Below are 18,086 nucleotides of genomic sequence, written 5' to 3'. Positions count from 1 at the left end.
TACACATGCCCATCCCCTGAAGGCAGGCTCTAACTTCAGTTCCTGAGCTGCTGAGTGGGGGTGCAGAACCACTGTCCCAACCCACGAAGAAGGCCCCACTAGACCTTCCACTTAGTTCCACTTAGGAGGCAGTGTCATAACTAAGCGGGGTCCCTGTCCTACCGCCACTCTGCCTTCATCACTGACTGTTCCAAGGACAACAAGCCACCAGGTTTGTGCCTGTCCCCATCAGCAGATGGAATTACACTGTAACACTTCCCATCTTCCCTGAACCATATCTGAGGCTCACCACTTCCCAGAAATGGCTGGCTCAAGCTCCCTTGGCAGAGAAGGTGGCAGAAAACAGGTATGGGGCTTGCAGCCAGAAACCCTCCTTTCTAAGAATTCCCGCCCTCTTTATCAAGTAACCTGCTACATTCCAGAAAGCTGTGATCATGGTAGTTACTCAAGAGAACCGGGAAGGTTCTCCCCTCTCCCATTAATGAGCAGATGGCTGAGTGGTACCTGGGGCACATGTGCAAGACAGACCTGTTTGCAAGGGGTCAAGAGTAAAAGCATGTATACCCGTGTTCACAGCAGCATGCTTTACAAAAGGCAGAAACAAGCCAGGTGTCCATCCACCAATGGATGCATAAGCAAAATGCGGTGCAGACATATAATGGAATATTATTCAGCCTTAAAAAGGAAGAAAATTCTAATACATGCCAAGGCAAGGATGAAACTTGAGGACATTATGTTAAGTGAAATAAACCAGATGCAAATGGACAAACGCTGTAGGACTCCACTCATATGAGGTCTCTAGAGTAGTCAAATTCATAGACATAGAGTAGGATGGTGGTGGCCAGGGGCTGAGGGAGGAGGGAGTAGAGAGTTGTTTACTGGCTATAAATGGGTACAGACCTTCAGTCTGGGGAAGATGAAAAAGTTCTGGAGATGGATAGTGGTGATGGTTGCCCAACACCATCAATGTAGTTAATGTCATGCATCGATCGTATGCTTAAAAATGGCTGAAGTGGTAAATTTTACATTATGTATAGTTCATCATAATTTAAAAAGAAAAAGTAAAAACAAAGCCCAGCCTACTTTGACCCCTTCCAAATGCAGGTTTGGACAATGCACGCTCACAAACGCCGACTCTGTTTCTCTGCTCTGAGAAGGAAATGGTGCCAGGTTCCCTGCCTAGCCAACTCCACCTAAAAGAAGACATGGACAACACAGGGAGCCGATCCCCACAGAGCATCCTCACAGCTTCCCCGTCCCTACCCTGGGAGGGCACACGAAGCACGAAATAATCCGCCTGAGCAGAGAGACAGTCCGAAGGAAATGCAGGTCCTCCTGGCCATGGCACAGGCCACAGAGGTGGAAGGCTGGGGCTGCCAAGAGCAGCACCTCCCAAGCCAGGTCCTCAGAGCCCAGGTTGGGTGGGGAGGCTGAGCTGGGCAGCCTTCAGGACCTGTGGCTCCTCTTTCATCTTTTTCATATACTGGGGGGTCATCTGAAATACCATTGGCAAAGAAGGGATCTATCCCTAAAATAAAACCATTTGAAAACAATTATTGCTGAGAAATGAACACTCCGGGCCTTTCCAACTCTGATGGAAAAAGACAGCTTCCCATCTCCCACTTTAACCCTCACAAAAAAAAAAAAACAAACCAAACATCCAGCCAGCTGATAAAGCAGCCAACATCCTCTCCCGCTATCTGTCATAACAGCAACTACGATAACAACAATAAAATGAGAATAACAAATGTTATTAAGCACTCAGGGCATGCCAGCAGCCACGCTAGGTGCTTTTTTTTGCACACCTCATCTCTAATCTTCACAGCAAGTTCCTGAGTCAACGACTAGTGGGATTTCTATTTCACAGATGAGGAAACTTACTGTATTTTACCCATTATCAGGCATGCATTTTCCCCAAATTTCAACATAATTCAAAGTGGAATCTCGCATCTCTGCCTCTCGCAATGATAACTGGGAGTACTGTCTTCCTCCTCCTTCTTCTTCTTTTTTTTTTTTTTTAAGAGACAGGGGTCTTGCTCTGTTGCCCAGGCTGAAGTACAGTGGTGCAATCATAGCTCACTATAGCCTTGAACTCCTGGGTCATTCAGGCGATTCTCCTGCCTCAGCCTCCTGAGTAGCTAGGACTACAGGCATGCACCACCACGCCCCAGCAATTAATATTTTTACGTTTTTTTGGAGAGACGAGCTCTCACTTTCTTGCCCAGGCTGGTCTCAAACTTCTGGCTTCAAGCAATCTTCCCACCTTGGCCTCCCAAAGAGCTGGGATTACAGGCGTGAGCCACCACGCTCAGCCTGCTGCCTCCTTCTTAGTGGCACATCCACTCACGGTGTGCCTTACCCTAGAGGGGATCTCAAAGTGAATGACATGCTCAGTGCACAGGCTGGGACCTGGCTCAGCGTCCCTCCGGAATTTGAGCCCATAGCTGCTGTGCCTGACCATCCATTAAGGGAACGACTCTCCACACCTCTCAGCCCAGCCCGACTCCTGCACGGAGGCTCACTCAGGGCCCCCAGGACTCAGGAGCACAAGTCAGCAACGCTGCCATCCCACAGCCTGGCCAGTGCCTACCCTGGCAGGCAGAGCCTTGGATGTACCCAACCAAGGACAGCCAAGCTCAGGGCCATGATTGTCTGTGGAGAGATGGCTGCAGGGGTCAGCCACATCCTCTCCGGGAAGGCTTTCCTGAGAGCCAGACAAGCAAGGAGACAGTCAGGTGAATGAGCCCAAGCGTCAGAACAAAACTAGACAAGGGAGGTTCTTGTGGTACGTCCCCAGGAGCAGCACTCCGTGAGGAAGCCCGAAAGCCTCCCAAATTAGAGAGAATGCCCATCTGATTGCCAGTCCTTGTCCTTTTTGAGGCCGGCAGCCTCCCAGGAATCAAGTTAAAGCTGCCGTCCCTCACATTGCCAAGTTTTCTGCAGACAAGACACTGATTTATGACCAAGTAATTCATATTCTGGTCTGGGCAATATTCAGAACAGGGTGTGCAGCTTGCAGCTGCCACATCTCTTGCCCAGAGAGCAGGTGCATCTATGTTCCTCTTCAGTGAGAAAACAAACCAACGGACAGAGTCATAAATGCCCTCTCCATCAGAATTGGAGTGAGCAGCCCATGGAAGCTGTGTGTGTTGAGAGACACAGCAACGCTCTGGGGTAGGCACAATCCATAAGCCAAGTCCACATGCTCATTCCAAAAGGCCCCTGTGTCCCCAGAGCAAGCACTGCACTTCTGCTGGAGATGCTGGCGGCCCTGCAACAGAGGAGGCTGCCCCAGGCCCCACAGAGCCCAGTGGGGGCTTACTTCAGGCCTTACTCCACTGCTGGGATTTTCTGCACCTATGCAGCAACAACTCCATCAAGCTTCCCAGAAGCCAGTGTACTCCCTGTTAAGGCCCTGGGGTCCTGAGCAATGGGTGTCTCTATAGACTCCAAATACCACAGCAGTTCCCAGGGGCACCTGTCAGCAGTTTCAGATCCAAGGACTATGGACAGTGAAGGGATCCCACTTTGACCACAGCCCATCCTTCAGGGTCCCCTCCTGTACAAACCCAGTGTGTCTGCCAATCCCAATCGCAGCCAATCCTACCACAGCTCAGATTCCGGGCTGTAGGGGTCCATGTGGCTCGATGGCTTCTCTCCTCTCTCCAGCCCGCTTCCCAGGGTCTGGCCACTCCAGCAGCAAAGATAACAAAGAAGAAACCAGCAACGGAAAGAGGAGAAGCTCATGGGAAAGCAGCAGTCCCCTTGCAGAGGTCAGAGAGTGCAGTTTCCCATCCACCTGCCACTTCAGACCCTTATGGGAGGCTGAGGGTAGGGCTGGCAGGACCCTGGTTATGGGGTAGGGGAGTCCTGCAGACAGTGGGAAGTGGGAACAGGGAGGGGGTTTTGTTCTGGGGCACTCTGAGAGGAGCAGCCCCAAATCTAGAGGGAAGGGTCCAGGCTCAAGAAGGAACTGAGGACAAACTGAGTGAGAACAGCTCCACCAGCCCCTACCCCTGGAGGGTGAGATGTGGCCTGGAAGATAGGACTTCTATTGAGAAGCTCTAAGATAATCCCAGCACTCTGGGAGGCCAAGGCGGGTGGATCACCTGAGGTTAGGAGTTTACAACCAGCCTGGACAACATGATGAAACCCTGTCTCTATTAAAAATACAAAAAACAAAACAAAACAAAACAAAAAAAACTAGCCAGGCGTGGTGGTGGGCGCCTGTAATCCCAGCTGCTCGGGAGGCTGAGGCAGGAGAATCCTTGAACCCGGCAGGCGGAGGCTGCAGTGAGCCAAGATTGTACCACTGCACTCCAGCCTGGGCAACAGAGTGAGACTGTCTCAAAAAAAAGGGCCGGGCGCAGTGGTCACGTCTGTAATCCCAGCACTTTAGGAGGCCAAGGCAGGCGGATCACGAGGTCAGGAAATCGAGACCATCCTGGCTAACACAGTGAAACCCTGTCTTTACTAAAAATACAAAAAAATTAGCTGGGTGTAGTGGCGGGCGCCTGTAGTCCCAGCTACTTGGGAGGCTGAGGCAGGAGAATGGTGTGAACCCGGGAGGCGGAGCTTGCAGTGAGCCGAGATCGCGCCACTGCACTCCAGCCTGGGCGACAGAGCAAGACTCCGTCTCAACAAAAAACAAACAAATAAAAAAAGAAGCTCTAAGAACTCTGTCACCAAAAGCTATGTACCATGTGATCCCATTTATGAAAAGCCCAGAAAAGACAAATCCACAGAGGCAGAAAGCAGACTGGTGGTTGCCAGGACTAACAGAAGAAGGGGATGGGGAGAGAGTGCTAATAGGTATAGGGTTTCTTTTGGGGGTGATGAAAATGATCTGCAATCAGACAGTGATGATGACTGCACAACTCTGAGATAATACTAACCACCACTGAATGGTCCATTTTAAACGGGTGAACTCTATGGTATGTATGTTACATCTGAATAAAGATGTTAGTGGGATAGAAAGGGGAAGAACAGTACTGACCCATCTGTGGGATGAAATAATCCTCGGTAATAAAAAGGAATGCCCTATTGGTACACACAACTTGCATGAATTTCAAATGCATTATCAAAGTGAAAAAAGCCAGAGCCAAAAGGTTACACACTGTACAATTCTATTTATATGACATTCGGAAAAGTGCTAAACTGTAAGGGGAGAAAGCACATCAGTGGTGTCGTGGGCTGCAAGTAGGAGAAATGCCTACAAGGAACAAGGGGTAATGCAAGTTTCTGGGGTGATAGGCCTGCTGTGTATCTTGATGAAGGTAATGGCTACAGAACGCTGTCACACCTCACAGAACAGTATACCAAGAGTGACTTTCATTGTCTGTAAATTACACCTGAATGCACATACGTGCACATATACAACCATCAAATGACATCATGACATCTTTCAAGCCTTTAATTTTTTTTTTTTTTTTCTTTTTGAGACAGGGTCTTACTCTGTCACCCAGGCTGGAGTACAGTGGCACAATTGTGGCTCACCGCAACCTCGACCTCCCGGGCTCAAGCTATCTTCCCACCTCAGTTTCTCAAGCGGCCAGGACTATAGGTCCATGCCACCATGCCCAGCTAATTTTCAAATTTTTTTGTAGAGATGGGGTCTCACTTTGTTGCCCAGGCTGCTCTCAAATTCCTGGGCTCAAGCAATCCTCCTGCCTCAGCCTCCCGGTAATACAGGTGTGAGCTGCTGTGCCCAGCCTAAGTCTTTAAGATGTTTGAAAAAGAACAGATAATTCACAAGATATGTATTTTTGTTTTACCTTCAACCCATAATTTCTTTTTTCTAGGGTAAAAATTACTATAATTGGAAATTTGTTGAAACAGTAAAGGAAGTTAGTTGAAAAACAAATAGCTGTTAAGTGGGTGAGGGGCAAATAATGTAAAAATCTGATATGTGAAAAATACCATTGAGTAGGGGCGCAGTGGTGCATGTCTGTAATCACAGTTACTCAGGGGGCTAAGGCAGGAGGATGGCCTGAGGCCAGGAGGTTGAGACCAGCCTGGGCAACACAGCAAGACCCCATCTCTAAAAAAATTAAAAAATAGGCTGGGCGCGGATCACAAGGTCAGGAGATCAAGACCATCCTGGCTAACACGGTGAAACCCCGTTTCTACTGAAAATACAAAAAATTAGCCAGGTGTGGTGGCGGGTGCCTGTAGTCCCAGCTACTTGGGAGGCTGAGGCAGAATGGTGTGAACCCGGGAGGCAGGGGAGGTTGCAGTGAGCCGAGATCGCGCCACTGCACTCCAGCCTGGGCAACAGAGCGAGACTCCATCTCAAAAAAATAAAATAAAAATGAATAAATAAATTAGCAAACAAGCCACGAAATTTGTACACCCATGTTCCTGCCAACATTATTCACAACAGCCAAAAGGTGGAGGCAACCCAAGTGTCTACTGGCAGAGAGATGGATAAACAAAATGTGTGTCTACCAATGGAATATTATTCAGCTTTAAAAAGAAAAGAGATTCTTTTTTTTTGAGACAGAGTCTCACTCTGTAGCCCAAGCTGGAGTGCAGTGGCGTGATCTCGGCTCACTGCAACCTTCACCTCTGGGGCTCAAGCGATTCTCCTGCCTCAGCCTCCCAAGTAGCTGAGACTAGAGGCGTGTGCCACCACACCCGGTTCATTTTTTTGTATTTTTAGTAGAGATGGGGTCTCATGATGTTGTCCTGGGTGGTCTTGAACTCCTGAGCTCAGGTGATCCACACTTCGGCCTACCAAAGTGCTGGGATTACAGGCGTGAGCCACCGCGCCCGGCTAAAAGAAAGGAGATTCTAATGCATGCTACAACACCGATGAACCTTGAGGACATGACGTTACGTGAAATAAGCCAGGAACAAAAGACGAAGGCTATATGAATCCACTCATATGAAGTACCTCGATTAGCCAAATCCATACAGAAAGTAGAACAGTGGTTGCCGCGGGGAGGGGAAATGGAAAGCCTATATTTAATGAGTCCAGAAGCTTTTTTTGGTTTGTTTTTAGACGGAGTCTCGCTCTGTTGCCCAGGCTGGAGTGCAGTGGACCGATCTCAGTTCGCTGCAACCTCCGCCTCCCGGGTTCAAGCGATTCTCCTGCCTCAGCCTCCTGAGGAGCTGGGATTACAGGCGCCCGCTACCATGCCTGGCTAATTATTTTGTATTTTTAGTAGAGACGGGGTTTCACCACGTTGGCCAGACTGGTCTTGAACTCCTGACTTCAGGTGGTCTGCCCGCCTCGAACTCCCAAAGTGCTGGGATTATAGGCATGAGCCACAGTGCCTGGCTGAGTCCAGAGTTTTTGTTGTACAAGACAAAAACATTCAGTGACAGATGGTGATGGCTGAACAACATGAACATACTCAACACCACTGAACTGTGTTATTTTTAAATGGTTAAGATGGTAAATGTTACATGTATTTTACCTTGATTAAAAAAAAAACATAAAATCAAATGAAAAATCCCAATGACTATCTCCCACAGTCCACCATGCATGCTCTGGGCCTGGTAAGTGGGGGTCACAAACTTCAACCCGCACCAGACAGAGCTTCAGTGTCACACAGACACGGCACAGGTGAAAGGGACAAGGCCCTCGAGGGGGAAGGGCTGCTCTCCTGCACTGCCAGCCGGGTGGGTTCCAGCCCAAGGTTCTCACAAATGCCAGAGGGCCCAATTGAGGTTTCTGAACAGCTGCCCACACAAGCCTCACGGGGTACCAACTGAAGCATGAAGCTCTGCAAACACGAAGCTCCAGCGTGTCTGTTTTGCACAGACACAAAACATCATTCTGTCTAGACAGGTGCTCGGCAACAGGAGACCAGGAGCCAATGAGCCAAAGCAAAGGTGGGTACAGATGGGCACACCTGCCTCAGCCAGGGCAGCCGGGGTCTGCTGTCCAGCTGTGTGTATGGGGTGCATAGGCCATCAGGTGTCACAGGCACACACGGGGTGTAGGGCACTGAGCAGGGCCTATGGCAGTCGCACACTCCATGCTCACTCCATCCTCCATGCAGAAGTCTTCTCTGGCCTCTGGGGGTCAACACCAGACCACCCCACATCATCACTAGCTGGTCTCTCACCCCAACACCATATGCCAGCTATCCCAAGTGTCTGAGAAACCTGTGGCAGGCCAGGCTGTTAGGCTCTTTCATTCCTTTGTGACAGTCCCTGCTTAGAAGGCCTCTCCTCCTCCCCTACAATGGCCTAACATACTCCTTTTGTTTGTTTTGTTTTTCAGAGACAGGGTCTGTCTCTGTCGCCCAGGCTAGAGTGCAGTGGTGCAATCACAGCTCAATGTAGCCTCAAACTCCTGGGCTCAAGCGATCCTCCCAACTCAGCCTCCAGAGTAGCTGGAACTACAGGTGTGCACCAAAACACCTGGCTAATTTTTAATTTTTTGTAAAGACAGCGTCTTGCTATGTTGCTTAGGCTGGTTTTGAACTCCTGGGCTCAAGCGACCCTCCCAACTCAGCCTCCCAAAGTACTGGGATTACAATATACTCCTTTTGAGTCCATTCAAGATCCAACTAATGGGCCATCCTCTCCTTAATGTCTTCCTTCTGCTAACCCAGCAGAGTCAGTCACTTCTCAGTGCCTGGTTGGTACTCACTTCCATCCCAGCACCCCTTTATCAGCTGTTTTTAATATATGTCTATGGGTTCCTTGAGGTCAAGGACAAAGTCAAGGCCTAAGCATTGTGCTTGGACCCCAGTAGGTGTCACATCAACTTCAAATGAACAGATGAATGGTTGGAGGATGAATGGATGGATGAATAGGTGATGACTGAATGGATGCATGTTTGGATGGATGAGTGAATAATGGATAGTTCAATGTTGAATGGATGGATGGTTGGCTGGATGTTAGACAGATGATGGATGGATGGATGGAGGGAGGGAGGGAGGGAGGGAGGGAGGGAGGAATGAATGGATGACAGAGGGATGAATAGATTTAGTTGGATGGATGATGAATAAAGAATAGTTAAATGGATGGTTGTATGACTGGTTGGATGGATGGGTGGATAGATAAATAGATAAATGTTTGGATCTTGGATTGATGATGAATAGATGGATAGATGGATGGCTTGGATGAATGATGGAATGGCTCAAGCACAGCTACCCCTTTCTCAGGAACATCTGCTGCTAGGAAATAAGAGGAGCAAGTTTGCTCATCTTGGGGCTTGAAAAGGTTTCTGAGTTTTAACACCCTGTTCTCTCAATGTGGAAGGGTTTTTTGGTAACTTTAATCAATGAATGACTATTTTCTTAACTTTTTTTTTTTTTTTTGAGACGGAGTCTCGCTATGTTGCCCAGGCTGGAGTGCAGTGGCACAATCTCGGCTCACTGCAAGCTCCGCCTCCTGGGTTCATGCCATTCTCCTGCCTCAGCCTCCCGAGTAGCTGGGATTACAGGTGCCCGCCACCACGCCCGGCTACTTTTTTTTTGTATTTTTAGTAGAGACATGGTTTCACCGTGTAAGCCAGGATGGTCCCGATCTCCTGACCTCGTGATCCGCCCACCTTGGCCTCCCAAAGTGCTGGGATTACAGGCGTGAGCCACCGCCCCCAGCCTATTTTCTTAGCTTTTTATCCTGGAAAATTTCAAACAAATACAAAAGTAAGAGCACAGCATCATGAATGCCCATTACCCCATCATTTGGCTTCAACGATTATTAGCTCATGGCCAGCCTTGTTTCAGGGAATATTCATTCAGCCCTGGGAAGCAGCAGGAAACAGGGAAGAGAAAGGGAAGTTAGAAACCAAGTGACCATCTCTCATCCAGCTTTTCCTCCTCCGGCAACTTCTCTGAGGAAAGAATCCTCATGGGGTTTGGAAGACTACCCTACCTGCCTCACAGGTTCTATAGGAGAGAAGCTCCTGTGAGCTCCTGAGCACAGATGTGAGACGCCCACACCTGGCTCTGTCATCGATTGCATCACCACCAGGCATTTGGAGGCAGCTCGCTGTGAAACACAGGTTGGCAAACTGCAGCCCACAGGCCAAATCCAGCCCACTGCCACCTGTTTTCATGTGACCTAGGCCTTAAGAATGCTCTTTATAGTTTCACATGCTCACATTCCAAATGGTTATGTAAGTATCCACAAAGTAGCATCGATTTTGCCTCTCAGCCACAAACATAAAATTAGTTACTATCTGGTCATTTAAGGAAAGTTCAGCCAATCCCAATACTGTAGAGTAAAGTAAAAAAAAAAAAAAAAAAATTATTGGTTCAAATCTTGGCTCTGCTGCCTGAGCTTCTGATCCTGCCTAGGCTTTGGCTGTCTGAGTATCCCCTTGGCGAGCAGCAACCACCAGCTCCTTGCAGAAATAGAGCAAGGCTCGGATCCTGGACGCTGAATGGGATCCCCTTACAAAGCACAAAGCCAAACCCAAGTGCAAAGTTCCAGTAAAGGGAGGGATCCTGTCTCTCCTGCAAGCCTTCCAGAGAGGGAACACCGGCAGATCCGTGAGAGGAGGAGAAGGAGGGTCTTCAGGAGTCAAAGTGCACCTTGAGACAGGCCCACCAAATGCAATATTCTGAAGGAAAGCGTGGCTTCCACTGAGGCATCTGTACCCCCACAGGAGTGACAACGTTCAGTGCCGGTATCCTTCCTGTCCTTATGCCCTCCAGACTGACCAGCCCATCTCCAGCACCGGCCAGCTCAGTACCAAGACAGCCCCTACTCCAACTGGCACTAAGAATGCTCAGGAAAGACTAACAGGCTTTCCCTGCAGGAAGGATACCTTGCCTTCTGATCCCAGGTGGGGCCTGCAAAAGGCTGGGAGGCTGTTGGGGAATTGGTCATCTGTAACAAAGGTAAATTATGGCCTCAAAGTACCTAATGTGCTCCTCCCACTATAGCACAGAAATAGGGGTGGCCACACACGCATGCCTGCTCATCTCAGTGCTGGCCTCAGCACATGCATTCCTGACCAAGCGGGGCTGTGCTCTGGCTGGCAAGACACCAGCTGGCACTACCAGGCCTCCTGCTGCCAACCACCTGCTTGCACATCATCACCTCCGCCCTGGCAGACACCCCCATGCTGCCGTCTCCCCCATCCACGCGGACGGCAGGGCCTCCCGCTGCCCACGCTCTGCACTTTGGCACGTTGCCCCAGATGAAACCTGCACGGCCTCTGAAATCTGTTCCAGTCCTGGTGGTGACCTGTAGACTGGCCAGTGGGCAGTAAGGGAGGACAACAAATCAGCCAGCAAAGCAGTGTCCTGGTTCCCATTAAGGGTGCACACAGAGGCCAATCCACCCCAATCCACATTACTGCAGGAAGCCAGACACAACCAGGATCCTACAGGAAGGCTGCTTTGGGACATCCACCAAGAGGGATTTCCAAATAATTTGCTGGGAACTCAGAGCAACATGACTTAATTTTATTTAGAATCACAAAACTAACGGATCTTAAAATAATTTTCTGGGAACTCAGAGCAACATGACTTAATTTTATTTAGAATCACAAAACTAACGGATCTTAAAAATGCTGCCATTCAGCTTCATCATTTACGGACAGGAATTCAGAGGCCCAAGGAGTCTACGTGATTCACTGGAGTCAGAGTGGCGGCCAAGGGCACAGCTAAGATGGGCAACGCAGAGCAAGAGGAGGAGCAAGCGTGGGTCCCAGCTCCATAATCCATGAGCTGGGATGGCTAAAACTGAACTGCTGGCTCCTAGTTGTGAGCGCTGGAAAATAAGACGGAACACCCTCCACGGTGCAGGACGACTAGTCAGTGCTGAAGAAGGGGCCATTCCTCTCCTTTCCTCCCCAAGCCCATGACACCATGCTGCCCTCCCTCCAAACGTGGTCTCACCATTATCTGCCCTCCTTCCAGCCAAGACCATCTGAACCCACTGCCTGCACAGGGAGGTGTTTGTCCTCCCGTCCCAGCCCAGCTTCTGCCAGCCAAGTGCAGCCATGCAAGTCCCTTTCCCTTTGTAGAAATCCTTTTCTGCCATGGCCTTCTGCTTCCTTGGAGCTTCAATGAAAGCCAAGCAGGAACTCCATGAGCCAGAATTAACTGGACAATGCTATCTGGCAGACCTAACTCACGATGCACAGAAGAGAAGCCAAAATGCTTTTCAGATTCAGTTACAAGTAGCCCACAACAGCAATAAACTAGCAAACTTCACAACAGACAAGGGGACAGTAAGTTCTTTCCCTACCAAGAACCACAGCGCTGACAAAGAACTGAGTGTCACACAGCCAGTGGCCTCAGGAAACTTCCTGAATGAGAGAGTGGACCAGTGTGACCCCAGCTCAGGGCTCCTCCCTATCAAAGCTGGACTGTTTCGAGGGTCATCAAGGAATCGGGAATTACCGTGGAGCCCAGTCTAGCACAGACTCCTCTGACCCAAAGCAAACCTTAATCTCAGATTCTGCTTCTCTGGAATGAAAATCCCACATCACAATTTTGGATTTTTGGAGGGTAAGGCCCCACACAGCTCAGACGTTTTAGCACCTGATGGAACTGCTTCAGTACAATCCTGTGAACAGAAGGAGGCAAGAAAAAAGTCAAAAAAGAGCAGGCAGTTAACCATAAAGCCAAGGGTAAACTGGGGCAGGATTTCTGGAAGGTGACCTGGCAGCAGCCATCAAGGGTCTTAAGACCATCCACCTCTCTGACCTGGTAAATCCAGTGACAGAGGCCCACCCCATCATGGGCAGAAACTCATATAAAAAGGTATTCACTTGGCCAAGTATGGTGGCTCACACCTGTAATCCCAGCACTTCAGGAGAAGCCAAGGCGGGCAGATCATTTGAGCCCAGGAGTTTAAGACCAGCCTGGGCAACACAGCAAGACCCTGTCTCTACAAAAAGAAAAAAAACGACAGATGAGTGTAGTGATGTGCATCTGTAGTCCCAGCTACTCAGGAGGCTGAGGTGGGAGGATCACAGGAGGTCAAGGCTGCAGTGAGCTCTTACTGCACCAGTGCAGATGCAGAGTGAGATGGCAGAGCGAGATCCTGTTTCAAAAACAAACAAAAAAAAAACCCCACAAAAAAATTCACTGAATGTAATTAATGCCACTGAACTGTACATTTAAAAATGGTTAAAATGACCCAAGTGCCCATCAATGAATGATAGATTAAATATATATATATATACACACACACACACACACACACACACAAACAATTGAATTATTACTCAAGCTTAAAAAGGAAGGGGTTCTGAAACACAGTAAAACACAGATGAACTTTGAGGACATGATGTGAAATAAGTCACAAAAAGACAAATACTGCATGATTCCACTTAAATAAAGTTTCTAGAGTCGTCAGATTCCTAGAGATAGAAAGTAGAATGGTGGTTACAGGGACTGGGCGTGGGGGAAGAAGCACTGTTCTTTAATGGGTGGAAATGAGTACAGATTTTCAGTTTTGCAAGGTGGAAAGAGTTCTGGAGATGGATGATAGTGATGGGTGCATGACAGGAATATACTTAACACCATTTAGCTGTGCGGCTAAAAATGGTAAATTTTATGTTATTTTACCATAATTTTAATTTTTAGTGGTTAAAATGTCAAATTTGTATATATATTTCACCATAATTTTTAAAAAGTAATAATGTAATATACCAAAACCCATTAAATTGGCTGCTTTAAAGGGTTGAATTGTATGGTACATGAATTACCTCAGTGAAGCTATTTAAAAAAAGAGAGAGAAGTTCACTGAAACATTATACTAACCAGCTGCATAAAGAACCACTCGAAATGTCCAACAAAAATTCATTAAAATTAGATAAATTAAACCATAACTCCACTACAAAGTAATAATATGGCCCTTAAAAATAATATTTACACAAGATTTACTAATACATGGAAACGTTCACATTAACTAAGGCCGGACACCCAACTACACAGCAACATCTTAACTATATAAAAAAGATTTACACATAATTATCTCAAAAGTTGGCAAGAAAATTAAACCTTCCTCATACTGCACAGGAACCTTCCCCATGACTCTTCATCTGCTCCCCTCTTGAGATGCCAGCCTTTCAAAACCTGCAGCCAATGTCCACGGACTCCCAGAAACCGAAGGGTCTGAACCCTGAGGGCTAGAGTCAAGTCACCCAGGGAGCTTTTCAAAAAACCCAGACTTGGCCGGGCGCGGTGGCTCACACCTGTAATCCCAGCACTTTGGGAGGCCGAGGAGGGCGGATCACAAGGTCAGGAGATCGAGACCATCCTGGCTAACATGGTGAAACCACCTCTACTAAAAATACAAAAAATTAGCCGGGCATGGTGGTGGGTGCCTGTAGTCCCAGCTACTCAGGAGGCGGAGGCAGGAGAATGGCATGAACCCAGGAGGCGGAGCTTGCAGTGAGCCAAGATCGCCCCACTGCACTCCAGCCTGGGGAACAGAGCAAGACTCCGTCTCAAAAACGAAAAAACAAAAAAACCAGATTCACTGAGAAGAGAAAAGCAAACAGCTGTGTGTGAACTGCCTATGAACAGGGTGGGCTCTAGAAGGGGCCTCCAGCCAATGCCAGCAAGGAAATGGGGACTCAGTCCTACAACTGCCAGGAGGTAAGCACTGCCAGCAACCCAGGTGAGCTTAGAAGAGAACCCCAAGCCCCAGCAGGGAATGCAGCCCCGGCCAACACCTCAACTGCAGCCTGAGGAGACCCCAAGCAGAGGAGCCAGCTCTGCTGTGCCCAGAAACTGTGACATCAAAAAACAAACTCATTAATCAGACCAGCTGCGCACGTGTGTGACTTTTTAACTACATGGGCAGCCAGAGTAGGGACCTGCTGCCCTTGGCCTCTGCCAGACTAAATGTTCCATTTCCTGTAACCACTCTGTTCTTTGGGCTTAGCAGCACCAAGCACTAGGAGACTACGGCTTCTCAGGCCTAGACCCGTCCACCAGCACCAGGCAAAACTTGGGCTCCTAATGTACCAGCCTGCTGACTGGCAGAAGTCCTGGTGAAGTGAAAACATCCCCAACCTTTTTTCCAAATGAACAGCCCAGCCCAGCCTTTGAAAAGCCCCCTTGGCCAGGCATGGTGGCTCATGCCTGGAGTCCCAGCACTTTGGGAGGCCAAGGCGGGTGGATCGCTTGAGCCCAGGAGTTTGAGACTGGCACGGGCAACATGAAGACACCTCATCTCTACAAAAAAATACAAAAATTAGCTGGGCATGGTGGCATGTGCCTGCCGTCCCAGCTACTCAGAAGGCTGAGGTGGGAGAATCGCCTGAGCCTGGAGAGGTCAAGGCTGCGGTGAGCCATGATCGCACCACTGCACTCCAGCCTGGGCGACAGAGTGAGACCTTGTTTCAAAAAAAATTTTTTTTTAATTAAAAAAAAGTTAAAGTCCTCTTGTAGCCTGGGCAACATAGTGAAACCTTGTCTCTACAAAAAATTTAAAAATTACCTGGGGGGATGGTGGTGCATGCCTGTAGTCCCAGCTACTTGAGATGCTGAGATGAGGGGACTGTTTGAGCCCAGGAGGTTGAGGCTGCAGTGAGTTGTGAGTGTGCCACTGCACCAGCCTGGGCAGCGGAGTAAGACCCTGTCTCTAAATAAATAAATAAAAAGCCCGCTTTGAGCTTCAAACCAAAACAGCTCTGAAAAAAGTGCAGTCAGGGACAGACCACCAGACCTAAGCCACCGGCTCTGGTCCACCCTGGATGTCTGAGCCCACACGGTGACATCTACATATCTGAGGATGTTCCCTAGGAGGAAGTCCTGCTCCAGCCTTTGATGTCCAAGGTCTCGTCAGTATCATGCCCTGTCATATGCCTTGTCTTGCTTTTTTTTTTTTTTTGAGACGCAGTCTTGCTCTGTCACCCAGGCTGGAGTGCAGTGGTGGATCTTGGCTCACTGCAAGCTCTGCCTCCCGAGTTCATGCCATTCTCATGCCTCAGCCTCCTGAGTGGCTGGGACTACAGGCGCCCGCCACCACGCCCGGCTAATTTTTTTTTTGTATTTTTAGTAGAGACGGGGTTTCACTGTGTTAGCCAGGATGGTCTCTTGACCTCATGATCTGCCCGCCTTGGCCTCCCAAAGTGCTGGGATTACAGGCGTGAGCCATCGCGCCTGGCCCCGCCTTGTCTTAAAATTCAATAAAGTGACCCTCCTCCCTTGGGAATGACTCCAATTAATTCACAGACTTGAAAGCAGGGAGAAAGGAGAGACAAAGAAGAAAACATCCATTTTCCCCTCTCCTTTCAGATCTATCCCCTGCACTCATGGGGACAAAGGAGACAGGGCACCCCAGTCCTACCAATACCTTCCCCTGCATCCCAACAGCTGACTGCAATAGTTTCCACCCATGGTATTAGGCGGCAGACCCCTAGCTGGCTTTCTGGGGGCGCAGCTGCCCAGCCCAAAGCAGCAGACGCTTCCACAAGAAGCCTCAAGCTTCCTGAGGAGTGAAAACAAAGCACCTCTCCCAGCCCGCCAGCCCATCCCCATCAACCTTCCCAGACTTCCTTGCCAGAGTTTCTGGAACCTGAGACTGTGGCCTTAGCAGGATAAATAAGCAACCGCGGGGCTCACAAGGGCCGGGGAAGCCAGGAGATGACACAGGCATGGCGGGACCCAGTCTCCGATGCTTCCTCAGACATTCCTTTCTAGAGCCTTCCTGGCTCTTGCACAGAGAAGAGAAGAGTCTTCTGGAGCCACTCACACCATCTGGCCACTAAAGAAATGCCATGAGAGAGGAAACCAGACTTATGTTAATAATCACAACCTGCATTTGTTAGGGCCAAATTCTTTTTTTTTTTTTTGAGACGGAGTTTCGTTCTTGTCGCCTTGGCTGGCGTGCAATGGTGTGATCTTGGCTTACTGCAACCTCTGCCTCCCAGGTTCAAGTGATTCTTTAGCCTCAGCCTCCTGAGTAGCTGGGATCACAGGTGTGCACCCCCACGTCCAGCTAATTTTTGTGTATTTGTAATAGAGACCGGGTTTCGCCATGTTGGCCAGCCTGGTCTTGAACTCCTGACCTCAGGTGATACACCAGCCTCGGCCTCCCAAAGTGCTGGGATTACAGGTGTGACCTACTGTGCCCAGTCCTGTTAGGGCCAAATTCTAACAGTACCTCACCAGCTGCTCCAGGGAACAAGGGCGGGCCCATGCAACTGCTCCACGACAAGATGCCTCCCTTGGGTATCACGATTCGGCCCGGTGCATAGCAGTCCTAGATCCCAGATCCTCACCCTGCTCCACAGCCCCACAAGGCCAGGCTCTGCCCCAGGCACCACCAGCATGGTGCCCAGCATCACGTTCCTCTTCACTTATCCATGGCCACCAGCCACAGGGAACAGCCGCCACAGCCACCCTTTCACTCCCCTTACCTGCGGTGGCCTCCCACCAGGAAAATGCCTTCAAAGCATAGCTACAACATGTCAGGCCCATGGACTGGACCCCTGCAAAGCCATATCACCCTGATAGCTGTTCAGCAGTAACCCAGCCACCTCTCTTTGGGGGTCACCAACCTTCCCATAGACCCAAACACATCACTCACCTTTCTGGAGCCCCTACTTGGAATAATCTCCCCCTGGGACTCCAGCCCACCAGTCCCCTCCTCGGCACACGGACAAAGATGTGGCCCTGCCCCGGAACAGAGCAGGCCGACGGTGGACACTCGGGGAGCACTCGGACCCTAATCCTGAATCCCCACCCACCTCCTCCCTGCTGCCAGAATGCTGGACACTGTGGTCCAATTTAGTGCTCTGGTCTCTCCTATACTCACTTGGAGCCTGGCTTCTGTCCTTTATCCCATAACCTCCTAACAGTCACTTCCTTTTAGCCTTTCCGCAACATAAACTCCCCCACTTCTTTCTCTCACGTGACCTCCCCCAGGACGCAAGGCCCAAGGGCCTGCTCCGGCCCTCCACTCCACACACCCTCCGCAACCCACGCTTCTGTCCTTCCTCTTCATTCCTGGCCTGGTCCTCTCTCCGAAAGGCCCTGAAACCTGCCAGCACAGCGCTCACCATCCCCAGGCTCATACAGCCTCCCTTTCTGTCACCCCCTCCCCAGAATCAGCTCATATTCCTTGTCCTCTCCATCCCTCCCCATTCCTCCCCACCGCCCCTCAAGACAACAGCTCCAGGTACCTGACTCCCACTGGACCATCAC

The 18,086-nt window shown here is 49.6% G+C and overlaps 1 protein-coding gene across 2 annotated transcripts in view, besides 2 other annotated features; it reads right to left on the bottom strand.

Annotated features, from left to right (window-relative positions):
• Positions 1-18,086, bottom strand: part of BCR (BCR activator of RhoGEF and GTPase) — a 137,529-nt gene that overhangs the window by 102,183 nt on the left and 17,260 nt on the right. The gene's annotated exons all lie outside the window — the stretch shown is intronic.
• Positions 14,338-14,514: a silencer, noted in NCBI's record as "fragment chr22:23543528-23543704 (GRCh37/hg19 assembly coordinates)". NCBI's record gives its function as "represses an EF-1alpha promoter that drives an FKBP-Casp9 reporter gene in an ReSE screen in both phorbol 12-myristate 13-acetate-treated (for megakaryocytic differentiation) and untreated K562 erythroleukemia cells {active_cell/tissue: K562 | K562(+PMA)}" and the evidence as "EXISTENCE:reporter gene assay evidence [ECO:0000049][PMID:32094911]".
• Positions 15,942-16,883: an enhancer, noted in NCBI's record as "H3K4me1 hESC enhancer chr22:23541159-23542100 (GRCh37/hg19 assembly coordinates)". NCBI's record gives its function as "activates a minimal SCP1, AML or CMV promoter by ChIP-STARR-seq in naive H9 embryonic stem cells {active_cell/tissue: H9 hESC(naive)}" and the evidence as "EXISTENCE:reporter gene assay evidence [ECO:0000049][PMID:30033119]".

Source organism: Homo sapiens, chromosome 22 (assembly GCF_000001405.40).
Source record: "Homo sapiens chromosome 22, GRCh38.p14 Primary Assembly".
In the NCBI taxonomy this organism is placed as follows: Eukaryota; Metazoa; Chordata; class Mammalia; order Primates; family Hominidae; genus Homo; species Homo sapiens.
Note: the sequence above shows the minus strand (reverse complement) of the source record. Positions and strands in the feature narration are given on the sequence as shown.